Genomic DNA, 17,315 nt, shown 5'->3' with positions numbered 1-17,315 from the left:
AAAACCACAATGTGATAGCATCTTTTCTGAATTGTGTCTTAGTGTTTTCCAATTTCTTCTTTTCTCTCTCCATCCCTGCCATAAACTTTAAATATTATTGCTTCTCAAGTACCACCTTGGGTATTTTATCTTTTCTTACGAATTCCCTTAGGAGATTTTACCCTCTTCCATAGTTTTACATAAATGTTGAAGAATCCACAAATTCAATCCCCAGCTCTGACATATTCCCTGGGGTGCAGACTTATATTTGACACTTTTGTTCCCACAAGAAGAGTCAATGCCAAAAAATGTTAGTCAAAGCCATTATGTGAAATCAGCGCAAGGTTTATTCAGCACCTCTACTTGGTAATGTATTCCCAATCAGTGTTGAGACCTGGCACACCATTCAAGGTGCATGTATGGATTCAGTGAGCTCATTTTTCTTTGACACATTACATCATAATGACTAGACATAAGCAAGATCTGTCTTTAATGTTTTAGGACATTGGTAAATCGTTTCATTTTTGTGTTTATTTTATTGTGAATGATTGTGGTTTTTATTTGTCCGGAATGCTCATTTATTTTTCTTATTAGGGTATTAGGGTAAAGTTTTAAGGCTCTGAGAATACAAAGTTTGAAGAGACACAATGAGGTTCATTTTGATCATGTCTACTTTCAGTGCCTGCAGATCATTCAGGCAGGAATATGTACTAAGTAGTGATGTTAGGGTTTTAGGATTTTAGGGTTTTCAGAAAATTGACTCCTGGTAATTGACTTTTGAATTATGTATTAGAGTTCAACAAGTTTCCCAAAATTAAATTGTTTGAACCAGATGAGCAGTTTTTCACAGGCTGATAACTCCTGTCTTTCATTATCATATTGCATTATCATTATGCATATTCTGGTTATTAAGCTATTCACTAAACTTCAAATGTATCCATCTATTTTGATTTTAGGGACTAACAAAACAAAACAAATTTAGACTCTGTTTTGGGTGCCCAGGCTGGGACTCTGCAAACTCAATTTATTCTTTGTCAGGTGACTTTCCACTGGGTTCCACAAGTAAGGGGTGGTAGAAAGCAGACAGAAAGAAAAAGGAGGAGAGAAAACCCTGGCATTTTCCTGTGTTCCTGTATTCTTGCTTTGTTTTTACTGGCAGTGAAGCTCCAGTGTGGATTTTTATTCAATTCTCCAGATTCTTGTAGCACTTTTCAAAACAGCCTCCTTATGCCTTCTCAGATGTACTACAATGAGATGAGTGATTCCCTGTTTTTTGAGAACTGGGTCTCAGATCTTTGGGATCCTTTCAGCGAACCTATGCCTTCTATAGACCCAAACGTTTGCCTTTGTTTCTCCAGCTCTAGAGATGGAAGCTGCTGTTATTTCCTATCTGACACCTCAGTGTTTCACTTTATTTATCCTTTAGCAGCTTCTAAACATACGTTCTTTCTATTGAAACACTTAGTATGTTTTTTGTCTTCCTGTCTGGATCCTGACTGATACACTATATAGATTTCCATCAGAAATCTTCTTCAATAATGAATAGTGCTTTCTCTTAGAGGAAACAGAATTCATTTATTAAACATATTTTGAGTGCCCTCCAAATGTCAGACACAGAGTTAGGTGCTAGGGTTTCTAAGTGTTAAGATAAACAAGATATTTTCTTGAGAATACTTCAGTTAGTAGAGAAGAGAGAGAAGTCAATAATTATTATAGACTATGACAAAAGATTCGTATTTCAGCTTTAAGGAGGGGACATGAGCTAAAGTATCAAGACAGGTTTTTAAGTATGGTGGGAATTTGGGGTAAAAGATGAATATTAAGAGGTAAGATGAACACACCCTATAAATTTGTGTATTCCAGGTTGTTTTCTAAAGTCCGTAAGAAATAATAATGTAGTTAATCTTAAATCGTATGCATTAGATAAGTTGCTTTAGCCACAGTTGGAGAATGTTTTGGTAGGGGGTGCACTTGAAATCAGAGGGACCAAGTGAGAAGGTGTGGTCACCCAGCTGGTGGAGACAAGCAGCATTTGAATAAAGGAAACCAGAGTTGGAATAAAAAGGATACAGATCCAGAATTACTGATAATAAAACACAGGAGTGATCAGCCTGTGAAAAACTGCCCCTGTGGTGCAAACAATTTAATTTCGAGAAGCTTGCTGAACTGTAATAAATAATTCAAAAGTCAATTACCAGAAGCCAATTTTCTGAAAACCCTAAAATCACTACTTAGTGCATATTACTACCTGGATGATCTGCAGGCACTGAAAATCGACATCATCAAAATGAACCTCATTGTGTCTCTCCAAACTTTATATTCTCAGAGCCCTTATCTTTCTGAATTGTGCTCCTATCTTTATAGACCAGATGTGTCTGCTTTTTGCCTCTTTCCACTCAACCAGGCTCCTCAACTGTCTTTTTCAAATGTGCATCTCTCCATTTCCACTTCTACTAGTGATGCCTGTGTTAGAGTCTACAGCTGTAATAAGGACTATGTTAGTAGAAATATGTGTGTCCCTTTATGTTTCTTTGTTAAAACTCTCTTTGATACTATGAAATATATCATTCTACAGCACAGATTTGCACAGGTAACTACCTTGCTTAATCCTCTTATTATTTAAACTGATCCCATCCCTGCCCATCTCTCCACTTTTATGCATCAACTTTCCTAATTCCCCTACTCTTTTGCAGTACACAGCTACTTGAACTCCTTAAGACTTACGTTCTTTCATTTCTCCCTCTGTGCCTAAGTGCTATTCCCTCTCTGCAGTGTCCATTCCTCCTCCTCATCTTAACCCATGCTTTAACAGATTTTCTCATTTCCTTAAAAATCTATCCTCTGTGAAATTCTAGAGTGTTTAACAACTGTTTATTTATTACTTTTATTTATTTATTTATTTTGAGACAGAGTCTTGTTCTGTTTCCCAGGCTGGAGTGCAGTGGCACGATCTCAGCTCACTGCAACCTCCACTTGCCATGTTCAAGGGATTCTCCTGCCTCAGCCTCCCAAGTAGCTGGGATTACAGGACTGGTCCACCACATCTGGCTAATTTTTGTATTTTTAGTAGAGACGGGGTTTCATCATGTTGTCCAGGCCTGGTGTGGAACTCCTGACCTCAAGTGATCCTCTCACCTCAGCCTCCCAAAGTGCTGGGATTACAGGCATGAGCCACCACGCCTGGCCAACTGTTTTAAAATTCTTGTGCGGAAGTGACTAGTAACCATATGCTTAATAGAATCACAAAGTTTATGAGACTTCTAATATAGACTCACAGGATTTCCTCATTCAAGATTACTCTCTGATTCTGCATTTTGGTAGATGGTATTAATGTTCAGAAGAAAATTACTAAGTTAAAGTACCTTAATTATGCTATAATCCACTTAGTTATTTTTTACAAAAGTATTACAAAAATGAAAAAGAGAAAAATCACCCACCAAAATGATAAAGGACTAAAATGGATAACTACTAAAGAAGTACAAAAAACTAAAAATAAAAAAGACTGACTCATCACTTATTGTGAACTCAAATTAAGTAAATGTTGGTAAAGCAAAACTGTAATAAGATTTTTGATTATCAAGTTTTAAGTATTTAAAAATCATAACAACTAATGCTAATGAGGATGCTGTGAAATTAACATTGTCTTAATTATTCTTAGAATCTTAGTAAGCACAACGTTTTTAAAGAATAATTTATCAATGCATACAAAATATCTTTATATACTTTAAAGAATTATAATTTTGTAAAAACAATTCCACATCTAGGACTCTAAGCAGATGTTCAGATATGCAGCCCAAAATGTTTTTTATGGTAATATCTATAAGAGTAAATGTTTTAAGCAGAAATTCTCAAGCAATATTGAGATATTTAAACAAATTTTGTTCAATTAACTGTAATTAGATATTAAACATTAATTTTTAGAGATGCTAATGTAAATAAAATAAACAAATATAAATCTGAATACATGATATAGTCATAAGAATTCCAAAGTTATCTATTTGTGAATGGGCAAAACTAAAATAGAAATGAGTATTTTAAAATAGTAGCATAGGTTATCTCTGTATGGTGGGATTATGAGTTATTTTCTTTATGCTTTGTATACTGTATTTCCTAAATTTTTTACTTATGGCCTCTTTTATAAAATCATATTTTACCTCCTTTATTGAATTGGCCATTTGATTATCTTATTAATGTGTTTCTTACCCTCCAAGGCCATGCAAGGGACATGTACCTTTTGTTTTCTTCATCACCGTATCCCTAGAAACTACCATACCATGGGCATTAAAGTGTTTTGAATGTTTGCTTAATAAATAAAAAATTGGACAGCGCATTAAAATGAGGTTTTTTTCTTCAAAAGAGGTAGATTTATTCTAATGAAGTTTAAGCTTTGGAGCCTTGCATTTGCTCAAGCCCTTCAAAAACTCTGAATGGACATTAGTAATCTTCTTTTTTCAATTTTGCATTCTTTTTCTTAGAGTTAGATCCCCAAAAGAATAAACTTCAGGCCTTTAAAAACCTAGATCTGTTTCTGCTTCTTGGATAGTCTTCATTTTCATTAATTTCTTCTTCATATATAAATGCTTCATTTTGCAGAACCCCTTGTAATCCCCAAATATGTTATATAAATTATTTCCCTCACACTTTAATTATTCTATGAAAATCATTTAATTTGTGTTTCTCTTTCCACTTGCACCTGGGAAACTACTTTAGCTTACCTGTAGTGATAAATTCATACCAGTTTTGTCAAATAAAGAAAAAAATCTTCTAAAATAATTCGACAACTTTATTGAAGAGAAACATCTATTTTTGAAGTCAAGAAACATTGTGCGAGCTTGGCATTTATATATGGAGACGGGATTTGGATCTATTCCTAGCTGAAAGAGCTGACTGCCTGGAAAAGGCCTGAGGGAAGAAGTGAGAAGCAGTCTTCTGAGGTTTGCCTTTTTCTCTTTCTTTTCTTTTTATTCATTTTTTTTTCTTTTGGTTTATTTGTTTTCCTTCAGACTGCAGCACATCAGGACATGGTTTTCTGGCCACATCACATATTCTGAAAAGCATCTGGTCTCCGAGTGGCACATATCAAAGACAGCAGGAGACTATAAAGCATTCCTTGGGCAAAAGGGAACCTTCATTTGGTGACGACATAAGTCAAAAATTAATTGCTTTAAATATCTATTTGCTTGAGAAACAGAATATAGGCATAGTTTAAAGTCATTTTTGTGTTATTATGGAAGGTTATTGTTCAAGCAGTTTGGTTTTGAGTTTGGATGTGTTAGTAAATTGTGGTTGATGTTCATTGTCAGTCTTTGGGAAAGTGGCAATAGTTATTTATTTATCTGCAAGTTGTGGAAACATTAGTCTATATTCAGATCCATTTCAATAAAGGGCATTTACAGTAGTTCATATTTTTCTAATTCTTTCTTTTTTTTCTAAATTTGAAAAAAGGAAACACACATGCAGCTTTTATATGTAAATATTCTGGTAATATATTCAGGAAAATATCGTTCAGAGATAGGGAGTTTTCGACTATTGTTTTATTCATACCTTAGTTTGAAAAATTTCATGATGTGATGATAAGCAACTTGAAGTTAATTGAAAAGAAGTGTCCTGTTAAATTAGAATGTTATAAGATAAACCTGTGAAAGCAAAATTTTCAACAAAAGGTAAAATTACAACTCTAATGGAAATATCAAAATGAACATGTTAAACAGTTTATTTACTCATTAATTAATGAGGGAACCCCACGGATGTTATAGCTGGTTAAAAAAAAGAACCTTTCAAAGAGCAGACACAGTACGGATCATGAATATTGAAATGAATATGCAAATGGGGGCAAGTTTGCCTTTTTCAACAGTGAGGTGGGAAGTGAATTAAATAAACATCTACTGGACAAGATCAAATTTGCATGTGACAAGACAGGAATTAGTTTGCATTGCTATCAATTTTCCACAACTTGCAGAGCTGTAAGATAGCTTTCATAAAACAGGAATCTGATAAACAGGAAGGGTGTACTCTAGTGCAAAAACAATGTATAGTTTCTATTTAATGATGCATATTTATAGATTTTCCTGCATATATAAGGCTACTGAAATATAGTCATTGTTTTCTGTTTTGTAGCTATAAAATAAATCTCAACTTTGTTCAAAGATTAAAAAGTACACAGATATTATATTATTAGATTAATTTCCAAGTAAAATAAAATGTAATTGAATTACAAAGGGGGCTGGAGAAGCTGAAGATATGAGATCCATTGCAGCCACATTCTTTTATAGCCACTTTCTTTCTATTTTTATTACTGATACCTTATCTGCTTAGGTGCTAGAGCTAAAAATCTGTGAGGTATTACTGACCAGTCCTTCTTCTTAGGCTACACATCCAACCTATCACTTAGTCTTCATGGTCTGCCTCCACTGTCTGTTTCAACCAGTTCACTTCATTTTTATTGCCTTCTTCCTAGAACAAATAAATTTGCAATGGTTATATGCCTTGTGGAATATTATTATATCTTCCTTACTGGAACTGTTGTATTTAGTTTTATTTTATACTATTATGTTATCCACAAAATACTCAGAATGTGTGTGTGTGTTTTTTTTAATTCTCAGAAAAATCCCTTTTTAGCAAGAGTTAATATGCAAGTTTTTTTAAAATTCCATGCAAAAGACAATAATAGCATGGTTTGTTTACCCAAATGGGTTCATGTTCATTATAATTTACTTCTCCTTTTGACTACACTAAAATATTCCTACTGTAGAAAATAAAAGACCCCTTTTCATTAACCCACTATTTCCCAGAGTAATGATTTTTAAAATGTAAATGAAGTGTTATTAGTATCTCACTTAAAACCTAATGATAATACACAGTTTTTCACAGAATGGAATCCAAACTTCTTGTCATGGACTACAAGCTCCTTCATGATCCCTTTCTACCTCCTCAATTTCATTTTGTAACATTGTGCTTTGGGGCACATTGCACTTCTTTCAATTTCTTTAAAGTAGGGTTTCTCAAGTTTAGCTTCTTATGAAGAGCTGTCTTCTGCACTGAAGAATGTTTAGCAGTATTTCTAGCCTCTATCCACTAGATGCCAGTATTAATCACACACACACACACACACACACACACACTTCAGTGTGACAATCAAAATTGTTTTCAGCCATTGCCAAATTTCCCATGGTGGGGAGTGGCAATATCTCCCCTAGCTGAAATCCACTGCATTAAAGCAGCAAACATTCTTGCACGTAGACATTCTCATACAAATTTCCTCTACAAACAAGGCTCTTTTTAGGTTCGCTGCATGGCTGCCTTCTTCTCTTTCTATAAATTTCAAAAACACATCTCTTATTCTAAAATGCCTTTCTTGTCCACTATAACGTAAAACTACTATCTACCCTATCCTCTGAGGATTAAATACTATTCTTTTCTTTATATAACTTACCACAATATATAATTAAAATGTTTACTTATATAATATTTACCTCCTCAACTAGACTATATCTCTAAACAAGGAATGTCAGTTTGGTTCACCATTTGCATAAGTTTGTTTCATTATCGTATATTCAGGTCTTGGCACAGGACTGACACTGAGGAGGCATTGGATACGTATTTTTTGAGTAAGTGAATGCTAATTTGAGTTGAATTTCCTATTCATAATACAGGATCTTCACATTACACCATATTCAGAAGTTCACAAATGACTCACTGTGCTTAGCAAAATTGTCATACCAAGAATAAATGCCGTTCTAAGGGTTATGCCTATAGTAGAAAATGATGTTTTCTGTCTATGTTATATTATTATTATTAATCTCATAATGGAACTTTTGGAGAAGCCAGAAAAATCTATTTAAAGAGCTGTAATCATTGTATCAGCCTTATTTATTTGTGTATTTATTGTATTCCCTCAGTAGTTTATCCATTTAAATCCAAACTTATATGACCATTTTGAAAATCTTCCAAAAAAGCAAGCACACCATTTTCAGGCGTGCTCCTCGTTTATTTTTTAGAAAATATATTTTAATATTTTTTCATCCAGGTGCTACTTTGAAAGTATTGAATAAATAACTTTTGGCAGATAAATCATTACTCAACACAATCTGCTATAATAATTTTGGGTTGAAAGCTTATTTTTAGGCTTAATGGTATTGAACCCCAATACAGATCTCAAAGCCAGTTAGCATGATTGAACTGAATTGCAGATGGTCCAACTCCAAGTGTGGTGCTTTGCTAAAATTAGAGTTTCTATTGTTTGTAAAAATAAATATTTGCAAGTTTTATAAATACCGTCTAACACAAACTCGTAGAAAAATTGAAATGTGTACCTTCTTTGGATTAAAAATATAGCTCAAATGAACTAAAACTCAGCTTTCAGATAGCTGGCACATAAGACAAAATCCTAGGAAAGCTCCCAATTTGCACTGTAATGTTAGTTCTCTAGATTTCACTTTTGACTTATCAGCATCTCCAAAAATTGATAAGAAATAGATAAATCACTTTCAGATATTATTTTACAACTGGAATACTTCATGTGTATACTGAAATAATTTATTCTTTTCTGTATTTTAAAAAGAAAATGATGTTAATGAAGGTAAACTTCTTTATTTCAGCATCCAAAATATTTTTAATAAGAGGGTAGGCTCCACGGTTTGTTTTTGTATCCTCGGCTGGCCCTTCGGTCTCTCGCGCGCTCGAACTTCCGGCCATTGGAGCGGATGTAGGGTTTGCAGGGTTTCCGGGGCGTACACCCCTCGGCCCTTTGGAGGACCGGAGAGCCGGACGACGCCGCAGCCCTTGGGGGAGTCCAGCGCCAGCTGGCGAAAAGTGAGGCTCTTGCCCCGCGCCCCGCTCCGCTCCGCCCCACCCCCACCCCACCCCACTCCCTAGAAGATGTGGCTGCGGGCCCGGCTGGTCATGCGCAGCGCACACACCTTTAGTTTGGGCACCTCCTGAACCCGCACGTCATCCGTTATGGCCCCCACAACCACGGCTGTTTTGTTTTCCCGGCCAGGAAGCTTCATCTTCCAGATCATCCGGGAAAGGGGCAGAGGTGGCCGGTTGTTGCGACTCATAAACAACCTCTTCAGCACAACCCGGTTGAATGTGGAGTTGGTTCCTTTGCTGGAAACCTGTACAGCTTGACCGACAGACAGCCTCAGGTAGATATCCTGGCTCTTAGGCTCCTTGCGCCGAACCTTTCGGTCCTTGTGGCGGGTGTCAACTCCCATGATGGCGCCTCCTGCCTGGCCAGGTCTGGAAAGAGAGAGTGGTAAACTTTCTTTTGATGAGGATTAAAAAAAATTGGATATCAATTTTTTTATATATTAGTTTATTTTGGACAACAAACGCATAAATAATACAGAAAAGACAGAAGACAGAATTTGCCACCTACTCTTAAGTGTCTTGTACATTCCAACCCCTCACCTCCCAGTTTTTGAATGAAATGACAAATTTTCTACAAAATATATTTTTTGTTATTATTATTTGAATCAAAATATGAATTACTAAACAAACAGTTCTTGAACATGTATTTACTTTTAAATACCCTCATATAAGAAACATACCAAATTATTAAAGATGTTTTAACATTTCATATTAAAGAAAAAATAATTATTAGAAATTTGTACATCAATCAAATAACTTTTATGCCTCAAAGGCTATTTGGAAGTATTTGTCTACTTCAGGAACCTACTTTTTAAATATATATATCCTGCCTTTAAAAGTAATTAAATTTTATCTTCTATGTTCAAATGAACAAATTTATAAATGTCCAGATTCATGAAAGACATTGAGTCATCTCATTAAAACAATGAGCTTGAGTTCATCTTAAATAAGAATTTGCCAATTGACAAAATAAAAGTTACATTCATATAGATAATTAAATCAACCTTGAGTGAGCGTCTTAGACAGGGCTCCAGTATGACATTAAAAGAACACAGCACCATTTTTGACTAAAATTTTGGTAAAAAATTAAAATATCATACACAAAATTAATTGTATAAGACTTCTGATACTTATTTTAAGTTTTCTTTAAGTAATTATAAAAACCATTATTCTAGTTCCAAATTATCCTGGCTTGCTCTTACTTCATTTCTCTGTTCTTCTAATTTTTATGTCGGTCATTTCTCTCATATTTTAGTCTTACATAAGCTACTCCGATTTTATGTTGGCAGAATTTTAAAAAATCAAATCCCGCTAATACTAATTGCTGACTCTTCAGCAATTAGCAAATTGTTCTGGGGAATAATCATTTTTCAACGGTCCCTCTTAGCTTCATTCCTAAGGAGGGTTCCATATTTCAATGCTGTTCGTAAAGTATTGATAGTTTCTTATTTTCCTCGGCATGACACGTGTGTGTGTGTGTGTGTGTGTGTGTGTGTGTATTAAATAGTCTTTGGCTTTGAATCCATCTTGAAGTGTTTTCTACTGGCTGCCTCTGAACTTTGCCTACTCGTTTCAGTGGAAAGGGGAGAAATAACTTCTAAATTATAGTCTAAACTCAAAGCGAATTTTACTTATTAGACATATGCTCTTGGCAGACATTAGCACAAAGTAGATATTCGGTATCTGTTTGTTAACTGACTGATAGCAATATGGACATCATTATATGTTATTAAGTCTCTTTTCTGGTGTAACAACTCTGTATTTTGTGAGCTACATTAGCAATGATTTGGGGAGCAAATGAGGATTTCCTTAGGCAGAATACCTGTTATGTTGTCCCATTATTCAGTGATGCTCCATTCTTAGAATGACATCGTTTTTCACCATTATCTTGAGATTGATTTTGTAGGTGAGGAAAAGCCATAGAGAAATTTTGGTAAACTTCTGTATATAACATAAAATTCTACTCTTTTGTTATACTGGGTAAAGTGATGGTCACAACTTTCAAATAAAAAGTTGTTTTATATGCCATCTTGTAGAACGCTGTCTTCCAACTGTAAAAACAAACACTTACAATGATAAGTGCTTGGCCACGGATAAAGGTATAGGCAGCATTAATCTTACACTCATGCTAGATCCTCATGGTATTATGGTGTTCATTTTATTGGTTTTTTTTTTTTTTTTTTTTTTTTTTTTTACTTTTTAACAACAAGGTGCATATGGCAGTGTACACAAAGAATAATTGAATAAGTAGTAAGATCAAAAGGAGAGTTAGATAATTAAAGCGACAACTGTTGCTGAGTTATATTAGGAATGCTTTCAAATGCCCTCAATTCCTCCACAGCTGAGCTCAAAATATTATAAGTAATATCGATGTTGGATTTGAAAAACAATGTGAAAATGTCTTACTCCAAAAATGTGTATTTCACTAGATTTCACTTGTCTGATATGCCTTCTTTTAATGTGTTTATTCACATTTATTAAATATTAGTGTATGTGAAAGTAGGGTGACAGATGAGGAATACAAATTTGAACTTCTGTATTTTTCAGTATTTCCTAGCACCAACCTTCTTATCTCTAGAAAAAATTTAAGGAAGCTGGGGGTAAGAGTGCTGTGGTCTGAATAAGAATTCAAACTTGTCTCATTCGTTAAAATAATATTTCAAAAACATGCAAGGAATATATGCCAATGTATTCTTCATATAGGTTTAAAATTTTTATTTTAAATCTTAACATTGCCATGTATATTTTTCTTAATATCTTTCATAATCTAATTATCAGACTGTAATGTTTTTCAAATACATGTGTTTCTGTGTCTATACTCATATGCCAAAGTGTGTATATATATGATTGTTCTCTGCATTATTTACTTTACATAAGTATATTATAATGTAAATATGGATAGATATGATATTGAGTTAAATGCACCCATATCTAGATATTATATAGCTAGATATATGTGGAGAGAGAGAGAGAAATTTGGAGATATTCCTCCTAATAGAAAAATATTTAATTGGACCTGAATTTTAGAGAGATATTCAGTTAAATGTTAATTCACCAACTCCCATTGTGGCTTCACAGAAGTGAGATGTCATGTAGTTCTTTCATATACATTTACTGAAATTGAGATATAAAGAATATGGACAACTCTCCCCAAAGGAGTAGTATAGATTACAGGGAACAATATATCATAGTGCATATCAATTAGTCTGTGAGTCAGGTGACCTAGGCATAGTTTCAGCTCTTTTAGCAACTTCATGTGATGCTTTAAATATGTGATAAATACCCTAGGTTTTTGTATCTTTTAATGACTCAAAAGTGACAAATTCTAAGGTCCTTTCCCATTTTTCATGTTAGTAACATTGAAGGAAAATTATTAACCCAAAAAGGTAGACAAAATTTCAAAATACCAGTAAAGTTAATTAATAAACATCTTTATTTCATATGTAAATGTATATATGTGTATTTATATAAATATATATACACATATAATGTAAGCTGAAAGTGTTGGGCTGTGTGCATTTATATACATATACGTATTTAAGCAATTTTTAATACATAAATGAAATTAAAATGGAAAAATATTGTGAGCGAGCCTGTGTAGTACCAGTGGAGTAAAACAGGGATCAAAATAAAAAAGGCTTTGTGTGTGTGTGTCCATAAAATCAAATATAACATCACCAATTATTTTATTTTTAAATAAGTCAATAGAAAAATTATTTTTTCGAGTAAATAAATGCAGAGATTTTATTTTTTCCTGAGTGGTTTTGAGTACAGATTGAAGCAGGTGTTACATATGAAAGCACAGAATATAGGAATACCATCTGTGTGTGTCTAATTTTAGCCAAAATTTTTTCCTTTACTGTTGTTTACAGATTAGAGAATTGGATTCTGCTTCAGAGTGGCGTTGGTACTAGCAGCTAATCCCGTTGAAGATTAAATGAAAACGCTAATTTTAAACAGTATTATTTTATACCATTAGATAGATATATTTTACAGCATAATACATTTCTAAATTTTTTACTTTTTAAAAACTGTGTATAAATGTGTCTTTTCTTTCTTTTTTTTTTTTTTTGAGACGGAGTCTCGCTCTGTCGCCCAGGCCGGACTGCGGACTGCAGTGGCGCAATCTCGGCTCACTGCAAGCTCCGCTTCCCGGGTTCACGCCGTTCTCCTGCCTCAGCCTCCCGAGTAGCTGGGACTACAGGCGCCCGCCACCACGCCCGGCTAATTTTTTGTATTTTTAGTTAGAGACGGGGTTTCACCTTGTTAGCCAGGATGGTCTCGATCTCCTGACCTCATGATCCACCCGCCTCGGCCTCCCAAAGTGCTGGGATTACAGGCGTGAGCCACCGCGCCCGGCCTAAATGTGTCTTTTCTATGCTTTTGGAATGGTATAAAATAAAGCAATCAGATTACTTACAGTTGTGTGCCAACTTATATGAGGTTGTATAATTTGGGGGATAAGATCAGGACTCCCCCTACTGGCTGCATGCCTGCTTCATTTGCATCAAAATCAGGACATAAAAAACTCAGGAAACACTAGAAATTTAGCAGAAGAGTAAGTTAAGATCCTCCAATCCGCTTCTCATCTTATGTATGTAGAAATCAAAGCCCAAAATATTAATGGATTAAAACTCATATTTATCCCCTGTAGCTTCAATCATCTAATTACCTGGGGCCAACTAAGTTTACCAACCTAATATGGTAACCATTAAGAATAATAAGATAACAAAGGATACTAACTATGGACTTTGTGCAAATGTGAAATGAACTTTTTCAAAATAATATTGTTATGGTACTTCATACAATTTTTAAATTACAAAATACCTTGGGGAACTAGCTTGTTTTCTGATATAAAAAATTGACCTCCCAAATATTTAAAATATAAGATAAAAATTGCACCTGGCCTTGCAGAGTCACAAATCCTGAGTGAACAGTTAATCAATGGATTAAATAATCTTGACCTCAACTTAATTTTTTTTAACTAGTGTGGAACTGTAGGCTATCACTAGCATTTTCCTAATACTCATGTAAGTCTAAAATCTTTTTTTTAAATTCTACTTGCTATAATATTGTTCTCATTGAAATACTCCCATATGAGCAATACCTGTTCATATATGTGAAAAGTCTTAAGTTCCTTGTTGGCTTTTTGCTTTACAAGCTAAAAACCACTATTCACTCAACCATTCTTCACAGAGCCTATTTCACAGTTGTTTAGTGCGTTTGTAGATCTCTTAGGAATCTGAGTGTGTTTATTTCCCTTTCCAAATTGAGTGGCTGACACTATTCTTCCCTGCTTAAAGACACAGTCTGTAATTCTTAGATGTAATTGATCTGTGATTCGTTGCCTGCATCCCACTATGATTTATTGTGATAACCTTCCACTGTTATTGACTCACATTAAGATTATAAACACTGTCACCGAGTTCCAAGGCAATTGCCATCTGAGCAGTGCAAAAGCAAATAATAAAAAGATGAATAAGAATAAACTTAATTTGGATAAAATATAAAGTTGAGAGAACAAGCAAAAATGTATAATAATTGTACCTCTGTTGTCATTCAGGGAATTGTCAGAGGCAACTTAGAACCTGCCATATGTACAGGTACTGCACAGTTGCATATGTATTTAATATTTACTATTTGTAATTTACAAATATATATGACCAAAAATTAAAGGTATAAAACATACTGATATTCCCAATATTCCACTTAAAGTTTATTAAGTAGCTACCTTATAAATGTTTTTTTAAAAATATTTAGAAATAATAGAATACTGGCTTTATCCTCAAAAAGGAAGTAGTTAAGTAATACGACTGAGAAGACAAATATGTAAGCAACTCATTATAATAGAAAAATGGCATATCTATTTCAAAATCATCTAAATTGTGAAATAACATACATTTTGTGAAAATTACTCTTCAAAAACTATGGACAATTTCAAATATATGCAAAAGTAGAGAGTATAATATGATTAAGTTCCGCATACCTATAACGAAGGTAAGACAATTGTAACTTCATGGCCAAGCTTGTTTCATTTATATTTGAAATTACTCTTCTCCTCCCACAGATTACGCTGAGACAGATCTCTAGAATAAAGATAATTTGTTATTAATCTTACAATGACTTTATTGCATGTAACTTCATGATACAACCAAACTCTTCAGAGCTGCAGATTTTTTTTAACAGGCAAAATATAAACTTTATGGAGAATTAGAGAAGACCTGAGAATAGCTCAGTAAACATGGCATGTTGGTGTAATAGGGTAAGAATATCAATAGGGATGGAAGAGATTTATTGCCAGAGAAGTAAAATAACTGAGAAATGAATAGTAAACATTTAATAGTAAATAGTAAAATTGCCAGAGAAGTAAAATAACTGAGAAATGAATGCATATAATGAACCAATAACCTAGAGTGGGTGCAGGGGATATATCTTGAAAGATAGGATGAATGTGTTTGTGAATGGCTTAATTTTGAGAAAATTTATACATGCATTCAATAAATGATTTGTAATGATCTTTCACAATATGCCTTTTTGTGAAGTTAAGCTTCAGTAACAATTCGTTGATCCTACAGTTGTCTACAAGATAAAAAAAAAAAACCTAATCACAATTTGACAAGGTCATTTAGATTCTATCTTTTAAGTAAAAGGCTGGAAGATACATCACAAGTTTATGTTCCAGTCATATTCAACAACTTGCCACTCTAGTTTGTTATGCTATTCTGTGTGTAAACATTGTTTTTTACTCTGCCAGCTATCTTTTTCCTTTTGTGAGCAATCCTTTTATGTGTTTTTTTAAATTTATTTAAATATTTATTTTAATTAATATATGAAATTATATGTATTTATTATGTACAACATGATATTTTGAAGTATATATACATTGTGTAATTATGAAATTTAGCTAATTAATATATACATTACCTCATATAGTTAGCAGTTTTGTGATGAGAACATTTACTCTCTTTAGCATTTTTCAAGAATGCAGTATATCATCATTGACTATAGTCATCATGTACAATACAATAGATCTCTTGAAGTTATTCCTCCTATGTAAGGGTAATTTTGTATCCTTTTACCAACATCTCCCAATCCCCCACTGTCACTGCCTCAGCCTCTAGTAATCACCATTCTACTCTCTATTTCTATGAGATTAACTTTTTTTGATTCTACATGTGAGAGAGAGAATGTTGTATTTGTCTTTCTGTGACTGACTTATTTCGCTTAACATAATGTCCTCCATGTTCATCTATGTTGTTGTAAATGATAGGATTTCATTCTTTAGTAGTGTCTTAATAATATTCCATTGTGTATATATACCACATTTTCTTTATCTATTTGTCTGTTGATGGACACTTAGGTTGATTCCATATCTTGGCTATTGTCAATAGCACTGCATTAAATATGGGAATTCAGATATCTCTTTGACATACTGATTTAATTTCATTTTGATATATACCCAGCAGTGGGATTGCTAGATCATACAGTAGTTCTAATTTTAATTTTATGAGGAAACTTCATACTGTTTTCCATAATATTTGTACTGACTTACGTCCACACCAACAATGTACAACAGTTTCCTTTTTTTTCACATCCTTACCAGAAATCATCTTTTATCTTTTTTATGATAGCCATTCTAACAGGAGTGAGGTCATATCTTATCAGAGGAGAAAGTTCTTTTTTTCTCAAGCCAACAAAAACAGATTCAAGATAAATATAGATAGTAAGAATTTATCTAATAATTTGGATCCTCAAATTTTATTTTATTATTATTATCATCACACAGTCCTTGGGACTGCTGTGCATTGATTAACTAAAATGTGGGTGAAATTATTTTCTACCTGAATCATCATTTTTCTGAAAAATATGGTGAGAAATTGATAGAGATTTACTATAATAAAGATATGCTGATCTCAGGAATGAAAATGAGTAGTATTCTCCTTTTGTTTGCCTCACTTGCCACCATTAAGCACACATTAAATTATATTTATGAATAACTTTTATTGGACACTTTTCATTAAATTATATTTCAATGCAGTTGTTTCTATTTGAGGGTTAGTTTTTAGAAACACAAACCCACCGTTCCTTGGTGATTCACTGTAATGCTTCACTATTCTCAGCAATTGCAGATATTTTCCCCAGAAAACATTACCTTCATTGGAAAATACCTAAGATTAAGGGATAATAAAAGTAGGACTAGATATGAATTTAGATATGGTGTGCATTGACAGAAAATTATAAATGATATGTAAATATTATTCAGTTGTTAGGACACAGAATCGGTCTTCATAATACAGTTTTAAAAGCCAAGATTATTGACGTGTCATCAGGGCATCACTTGCTTTGCCAATGTTATTGCTGCTCAACCTTATAACTGCGGATAAAAGGGTTAAACATTTTGATCACTTGGATTTTGTGTTGAACTTGAGTTTTTAGGAAGATAATGTGATATATAAGGAAAGGTA

General features: G+C 33.6%; 1 protein-coding gene and 1 pseudogene across 9 annotated transcripts in view; one reads left to right on the top strand and one right to left on the bottom strand.

Moving 5' to 3' along the window:
- Nucleotides 1-17,315, top strand: part of CSMD3 (CUB and Sushi multiple domains 3) — a 1,214,012-nt gene that overhangs the window by 51,077 nt on the left and 1,145,620 nt on the right. The window contains exons 1-2 of one of the 9 annotated variants that reach the window (NM_198124.2): nt 8,711-8,790; nt 8,978-9,125. The exons of the other annotated variants lie outside the window; for them this stretch is intronic. Coding sequence (NP_937757.1) covers nt 9,068-9,125 — 58 coding nt within the window. The 5' untranslated portion in view covers nt 8,711-8,790; nt 8,978-9,067. Of the gene's footprint in view, nt 1-8,710; nt 8,791-8,977; nt 9,126-17,315 lie in introns of those variants that run through there. 9 annotated transcript variants of the gene reach the window in all.
- On the bottom strand, nt 8,573-9,229 carry RPL18P7 (ribosomal protein L18 pseudogene 7; annotated as a pseudogene).

The sequence above is a fragment of the Homo sapiens genome, chromosome 8 (genome assembly GCF_000001405.40).
Source record: "Homo sapiens chromosome 8, GRCh38.p14 Primary Assembly".
NCBI classification, from domain to species: Eukaryota; Metazoa; Chordata; class Mammalia; order Primates; family Hominidae; genus Homo; species Homo sapiens.
This window is presented reverse-complemented; position numbering and strand designations above follow the sequence as displayed.